The sequence below is a fragment of the Homo sapiens genome, chromosome 7, assembly GCF_000001405.40.
Source record: "Homo sapiens chromosome 7, GRCh38.p14 Primary Assembly".
NCBI lineage: Eukaryota > Metazoa > Chordata > Mammalia > Primates > Hominidae > Homo > Homo sapiens.
Genome location: NC_000007.14, coordinates 123869923 through 123877797, shown reverse-complemented (window position 1 = coordinate 123877797; position 7875 = coordinate 123869923). Strand labels below are relative to the sequence as shown.

General features: G+C 40.2%; 1 protein-coding gene across 5 annotated transcripts in view; it reads right to left on the bottom strand.

Moving 5' to 3' along the window:
* Positions 1-316: 316 nt before the first annotated feature.
* The window catches only part of HYAL4 (hyaluronidase 4), a 113774-nt gene continuing 106215 nt past the window's right edge, over positions 317-7875 (bottom strand). For 4 of the 5 annotated variants that reach the window (XM_047420093.1, NM_012269.3, XM_011515990.2 and 1 more), the window contains 2 exons: positions 2948-3037; positions 317-1044 (listed from right to left, as the gene is read on the bottom strand). In XM_047420093.1, coding sequence (XP_047276049.1) covers positions 643-1044; positions 2948-3037 — 492 coding nt within the window. In that variant the 3' untranslated portion in view covers positions 317-642. The remainder of the gene's footprint in view (positions 1045-2947; positions 3038-7875) is intronic. The other variant, XM_024446703.1, reaches the window with a different exon arrangement.

The window sequence follows — 7875 nt, the reverse complement described above, 5'->3', positions numbered from 1 at the left end:
CAAAGCCTTGACAGTGTTCAGACTGCCAGGGTCTACGAAGGAAGGACTCCAAGTGCCATCTTAGAATTGGTGCTTTGCAAGTTGGTAATGGCTCCCCCTTACCTCAGTCTCCGGCCCCTCATGAGAAGCTATGCCAGGAATGGTTCTGCATTTAATGAGTCCAAGTGGGAAACAGAAACCTAGTGTGAACCCGAGGCTAGAATAGAAACTGGATTTAGTCCTCTTCAGTGGACCAGTTGACCAGGTGACCCCTTCTGTTAAATCAGATGATTACTTAGTAATGTGTCCTTAAATAAATTGCCAACTTGAAAAAACAGTCTTTGAAATGAATAATTTAATATTTTTATGTATAATTTTATGTATGTACATTCATGAAAAGACTAAATTATACTAGTTTTAGTTTAAATGCAACTTAAATATTCCAATAAGGAGGAAGTGTACATTGACTTTACCCCAGATCTGGTTTCCTAGCCAGACTGGAGGCAAATAAAATAATGTTTCTGTTTATGTTAAGTGACATACATAATGTCTACTTATAATATCTCTCAATAGAATTCATAAGAGAAAAAAAATGTTATAAGTTACATCCTTCTTTAAATGACTAGGCTAGAGGCCACACAATTCCCTTTAAACTCAATTATCTCACAACTGAATGCTTCGATAACTTGCTAAAAGCAGTAGACAAAGTGTCATTAGTGAACCAGGAGAAGGGGAAACCCCAGAGCAGCCATCAGCCGTCTTTATTTCTCTGCAATCAGCTCCTTCATATCCCTGATAACAATGACAGGAAAATGTATCTGCCATCACTGCCAGGTCTGTATCAGATGCTTTTCCTTTCACAGTAAACTCCCCGTCCTCAGAGGCCTCTATGTGGTAACTTGCAGGGTTCAAGTGAAGGTAACTGGGCGCGTTCCACATCTTCCTTATGCACCTGCCATTGTTCCTGCAGAGGTGAAGGCTGCATACCTCAGCAGCTCTGGTCACATTGGCTATGTAGCTCCCTAAATCAGAACTCACAAACTGCTTCACCTTTGTACAGTTGGCCTAGAAATGTAGGAAGAAATCAATTTTAGTGTGTTCTCCCTGGTAGAAATGTACAAAGAAATCGATTTTAGTGTTTCTCGCTGGTACTGATAGAATTAGAGCTTCTAGCACAGTTCTTTGGTCTTGATTAAAACATAATGGCTTGGTTCAGTTGTTGAACTTGTAGGCTCCTGGGCACTATAACAAGGGTCCCAAATCAGAAAGGGGAGAGGTCTGAGGGGCAGGAGATGGATACTATGTTATAATCAGGCTAAGCAACTGAACTTGCAAATAGCCCCCAGAATCAGCACATGAGACCTTGCCTTTCTGCAATTTACATTCTTTTTTTCTTCCTTCTAGCTCCCAAGTTAATGGGTATAAAAGGAAAAGGAACAAACCCAAATTAGGAATGTACCAGAACTGCTGCCCTCAGCTACCATTCAGGTATGTGGGGCCTTCCTTGGTTGTGTTAGAGCCTGAATCATAGTCCATCATTTATTGTCAAATCATCTTATGCCACCATTCTACCAAGTATTATAGCCTTCTGGATTTTCCTGTTAATTTCCATCAACTGTCCTGGGTCCTGTACTTCTAATACAATTCAAACACATGAAAACCTATATGGCTAAGTAACTTTTGTGTATATGGTTCCTATTACGTGTTCTAAACAGAGGCCACCTGTGTGCACCCACCTTCCTGATGAAGCTCTTCTGACGAGCCACCAAGGGACTGGGGTGGAAATATCACACCTGGAAAGTCAGGAATTAATCCTCTCAGTTTCTACCTAATTCTCATATGTGGGCATAGGCATAAACAGTTTCATGAACACTATCTCAGTAGCAACAAATTGAGACTGTGAAATTCTGAGAATAATATCAGATCATCATGGACTTGCAAAAAAATTCAATTTAGCAAAAAGTGTCAAGGGTGCCAGTATTCAAGGTAAAATGCATTACATTATAGAAATATAAACAAACCGCATCTGGAAATATGGAAGAGATTGTGATTAATGTGGATTGGGGAAAACTAGGAATCTTTCCTGGAGTAAAAAAAAATCTCAGCTGAGAGAAATTTGAAGAGCCATATAAATCTTTTTTTTTTCTTTTTTTTTTTTTTTTGAGATGGAGTCTCACTCTTTGAACCAGGCTCGAGTGCAGTGGTGTCATCTTGGCTCACTGCAACCTCTGCCTCCCAGCTTCAAGTGATTCTCCTGCCTCAGCCTCCCGAGCAGCTGGGATTACAGGCATGTGTCATCACACTCGCCTAATTTTTATATTTCTAGTAGAGACTGGCTTTCTTCATGTCAGTCAGGCTGGTCTCGAACTCCTGGCCTGAAGTGATCCCACCTCCCAAAATGCAGGAATTACAGGCATGAGCCACCGTGCCCCGCCATAAATCTTATTTTAAATGCTGATAATTTTCAGCTGATTTCTCTGTAGAGGAAAAAGTAACTTCATTGTGGAGAATTAAAAAGTTACCACCTGTTTCTACCTCTCAAAATAGTATATAACACATTTTCTATAGTCATTAAATGCAAGGTGTCCATCATCAAACTGTGGCTAATGCCAACTCTACCACTAACTATCCTAAATAGTTATTAACCTAGTTGGTTTCCTCTCTAGTTTCACCATCTGTAAATGAGGATGATAGTCACTACCTCATATGACCAGTAAGTGAGCAAATCCGACTCAAAAAATCTCTTAGCACAACCTTAGCGCATCATAAATATTCATCAAATGTCAGTGTTATGATTACTATCTTTATAAAAGTTCACAATATTTTTTAGCCTTTGCTATGTATCAGGCACTGATTTGGAATATTTATTCTAAAGCTGGTTTGCTATGGAGGTCATTAAGCTCTCCAAGAAAGCAGAGAAATACTTTTAATAGAAAACATTAAATATACCTTCAAGATACTGACTTACCTTGGATGCAGTTAAATTCATGTCTCCCCAAATAACAATGCCTGCAGCTCCCAAGGCAGCACTTTCTCCTATGGTGCTGACTAGATCTTGCTAGATTGAAGACAGTAGAGTTCATTATTAATTTGAATGTAAAACAATCCACCAGGGGCTGGGCGCGGTGGCTCACGCCTGTAATCCCAGCACTTTGGGAGGCCCAGGCGGGCAGATCACGAGGTCAAGAGTTTGAGACCAGCCTGGTCAACACAGTGAAACCCCGTCTCTACTGAAAATACAAAAAAAAATTAGCCAGGCGTGGTGGTGGGCGCCTATAATCCCAGCTACTCGGAGGCTGAGACAGGAGAATCATTTGAACCCAGGAGACGGAGGTTGCAGTGAGCCGAGATCGCACCATTGCACTCCAGCCTAGATGACAGGGTGAGACTCCGCCTCAAAAGCAAAAAACAAAAAAACCCACCAGGGATTAGGATTAGAGTCTGAGTTCAGTATAACAGGGCTGGTACTGAGCTCATATACTCCTTAGATACTATTTTCTATTTTCTTAGAGTGACACAAATGCTGAATAAACCAATGCTCAAAAATCACACTCTGTAATCATATGCAAAAACATAAATATTTTTAAAGAAAAACATATTTTGCCATGCAGGATATTATATTGAAGGCAATGAGGCTGTAAATAGTTATCAGAAATTATTTAATTGAAATAAATCGGGGGCACATACCCACATACCAGGTCATATGTATGTGCCCTGGAAACAGAATCCAAAAGTTTTCCTTCTCCAAATGCGATCCTGTTAACCAGGTTCCTTTTCCATTTTGCAACATGCCCCAGTGACACTTCATCCCCATAGTCATTTCAATTCCAAGGCCAGGCAAAGAAGCAACGTTAAGGGCTTGCAGGCTCTGATTTGGTCCAGCTTTTATATTTGTCCCTGAAATTATGTGTGTTTAATTTCTAAGTACCTGACCTAATGGGTTTTATTTATGACTCATCCAGTCATGGTAAAGTCGCTGGAATTTTCTGCAATATGGTTAAGACAGACAAAGGTAAGGTTTTAGCAGAGAGAATTTTGATTTTATAATCTTAAAGGGTTATTGTTTTAATGTTTAAAGATTAACAGGGATCTAGGCCGTTTTCTGGAGCAAATTAAGATTTGAATGTATGTAGTTGGTTTCCTAGTTTATTAAATTACAACACATTCCCTCACCCCACTCTTTAGGATACTAAGCATTCACCTTTTACTCCAAGGGTGAATTTCTACCAATTAAACGCTAGAAAATGTTATTAGGTGATTTGGTGGAAAATAAAAGCAGAACTGTAAATGCTATTTTGCCATTGGGCACTTAATATTAATACTTGAGAGATAAGTCTCTTTATCTGACACTTTTATTGTCTAACACTCAAAAAAAGGTTTTACAATATCAGTTTTTAAAGTTTTTTTTTTTTTTTTCTGGGCAATTGTCTTGTGACTTTCAACAAGGAAAGAGATTTTGGTTTAAACTAATTTCCCTTTCAGGTTAACATCCATTTTCATTCCCTATGATTATAATATCTGTTGAACAGGTCATAGCTGACATGAAAGGAAGGAGAGGAGGTTTTGAGAGGCTCAAATGAGATAGTATAAATGAAAGGATTTTGAAAATTGTCAATGGCACGATGAACAGGGACAGAGGAGGAGCCATCCCTGCAGTACCAAGACTGCAGACTCTGCTGAGTCTGCGTCCACTCCCTCTTTGGGCAAAGACATAAGGGAGCAGAACTCCTCACTCCGCTCACTTTGAAACTTCCCTGAAAATGGTGTCATATAGTCACATGGTATGATCAGGGCAGAAATCCCTAACAGCTCTCCTTTTGATGAAGGCATTGTCATCAAAGGAGAATAAGGACATAACATTTACATTTTATATTTATAGATTATTGGTCTATAGTAAGTATGTAAGCGTCAGATGTTTCTGGTGAAAGCCACACCTTCTGAGGTTGCTGTCAGTTTCTTCCAAATTAGTTTTCAAATCAGTTTCTCACCAAATTAGTTCACTGTCACCTCACAGACAGTAGGGTGCTGAATGAATCACAAAGCAGCTATGTTTTGGGGATCAGAAAATCAAGGGCACTACCCAGCTAGGAAAGTCACAGATAAAGTGCCTCTGGGAGCAGATTGGGACCACCTGAAAGCTTGAGCCACAGTGGTGTTGTCACATTACAGAAAAAAGAAGGAACAAAGTAGATGTACTGAAAATGAGCCTCCCAGGTCCCAGTGTGGCACAGGGTGCTTTGCACCTACACATGATCCTTGGACCTGAATCAAGGTTTCAGAAGTAGAGGGTAGGGCTACTCAGGGGATTCACTCAACACTTCGGTGTCAGTCCCTGACGCTTATCAAAGTGCATGTAAGCAACGTGCCCACTGTGGGGAGCTGGAGCATTACTAATGAGCTGCCTTTGTGCCTTACCGGAGACAGCATGAATTAATAACAAGGATAAATATCTTTAAATCTATAGGCAAGGAAACTCCTGTTGTTAATTTTTAAAAGCACATCTCACAGATGGAACAGGAGGCCATTACCTTAAGTGAAATAACTCAGAAACAGAAAGTAAAATATCACGTTTTTACTGATAAGTAGGAGCTAAACGATGGGTAAATATGGCCATACAGAGTGCAATAATAGACATTGGAGACTCCAAAAGGTGCAAGGGTGGGAGGAGAGTGAGGGATAAGAAATGACCTGTTGGGTAAAATATACATTTTTCGGGTGATGGGTACACTAGAAGCCCAGAATTCACCACTACTCAATATGTCCATGTAACAAAACTGCACTTGCACCCTGTAAATGTATAAAAATGAAAAACTAATAATAAATAATAAATGTTTTAAAAGCACAGCATCAGGTTATGTCTAGGTTGCATTTATATGTAAATAATGCAGGCAATCTTCTGTCTGAAATGAGGTTTGACTGCCTCTATATCCCCACGCTATAGCTATTGCCTGAGATACCACTCTTAAATATCCCATGTTTAAGTTTAAGGCTTTGATGGCTGTTAAAAAAGTAATAGCCATATCACATAGGTTTCTGTAGAGCTTCAAGTTTTCATATGCATGTTCTCATTTGATTTACATCATACTTTTGCTAGGTCAGTGGGGCAGGTAATATTGTCCCATTTTGTACATGAAGACACTAAGACACTAAGTCCAGGGAGGTTAAGAGATTTGCTACTTACTAGTGAATCTTTTTTGTAATCTTAACTGTATGTGTGTGTGCATTCTAAAATTCAGACATTGTTGGGAAAATCAGAAATGGAAGCCATTAATGGTCATTAAGAGTTTGGTACAAATGAATATCAGGCTTTTAAAAAATTATGGGCGGGGCCGGGCGCAGTGGCTCACACCTAAAATCCCAGCGCTTTGGGAGGCCAAGGCGGGTGGATCTCTTGAGGTCAGGAGTTCGAAACCAGCCTGGCCAACACGGCAAAACCCCGTCTCTACTAAAAACACAAAAATTAGCTGGGCATGGCGGCGCATGCAGTGTAACCTCAGCTACTTGGAGGCTGAGGCAGGAGAATCACTTGAACCCGGGAGGCAGAGGTCACAGTGAGCCGAAATCGCGCCACTGCACTCCAGCCTGGGAGACAGAGGGAAACTCCATCTAAAAAAAAAAAAAAAAATCATGGGCAGATTTTTAAAGTCAATAGGGTACAATGGTGGGTACACTTATAGTTTAAAACACTTGGAAATAGCTTGCCACTCGGAAAAAAAGAGTGCAGAATGAGATGAAACCCAAACTGTTGCTCCTTTTTTCCTGAGGAAAGAAAGCATTTCCGTGGCTGTAGCTATAGAAAAAGAAGCTTATACCAGGTTCACAGAATGTGCAGAATGTCCCAGTAGTCTAAATTCATCTTTTGAAATGAACGTTTTGTCCCTCAGAGTTTATTGTTTCTTCCAAAAGTCAATTTATTATCACTAAAGAAAGGAACTTGGTTGAGTCAAATATAGAAAAGACGTCTTACAAAAGAAACTGGTATTTAAATTTTGATTCCATTCCAGAGTCAAGATTATTTTATAAAGATTTACGTAACTTTCTTTCTTTTTTTTTTTTTTTGAGATGGAGTTTCGCTCTGTCGCCCAGGCTGGAGTGCAGTGGCACAATCTCGGCTCACTGCAACCTCTGCCTCCCGAGTTCAAGCAATTCTCTTCTCAGACTCCTGAGTAGCTGGGATTACAGGTACCCACCACCACACCTAGCTAATTTTTGTATTTTTAGTAGAGATGAGGTTTCACTATCTTGGTCAGGCTGGTCTTAAACTCCTGACCTTGTGATCCACCTGCCTCAACCTCCCAAAGAGCTGGGATTACAGGTGTGAGCCACTGCACCCGGCCTAGATAACTTTTTAAAACCTTTCAGACGGTACTGACTTCCTATTATTCTTCATTCAATTATTTTTCACTGATTTTTCTGGGTGGTATGAATAGAAGTTCACAACAGAGACTTTTTTTCCTTCCTCCTTCACCTCATGAGTGATGTTGGAGGTATGGTATTTACCATATTTCATACACATGCATCATTTCTCCCTCTGATGAATACATTCCATTTATGTTCCAAAGATACCTGGTCACTGTAGAGCCCTCACCTGGGTGTTTTCTATGCCTCCTCCTTAGGATGCCTAGAACTCAGAACGTCTTTAACAGATATTGGTGAGTTGAAATTTGTAATGGTGGAGAAAGGAAAAATGCCTCTGTTAAAATATATTAAACCACTGGTATCCAGCAATACCTTAAAACATCACTGCATCACACATGTGAAGCCCTCCACAAGTCCTGAGTCTTCTCAATGTAGAAAGGTTACACAAAATTATCCAAATCCAAAGATTAGGCTGGGCACGGTGGCTCATGCCTGTAATCTCAGCACTTTGGGAGGCCGAGGAGGGTGGATCACCTG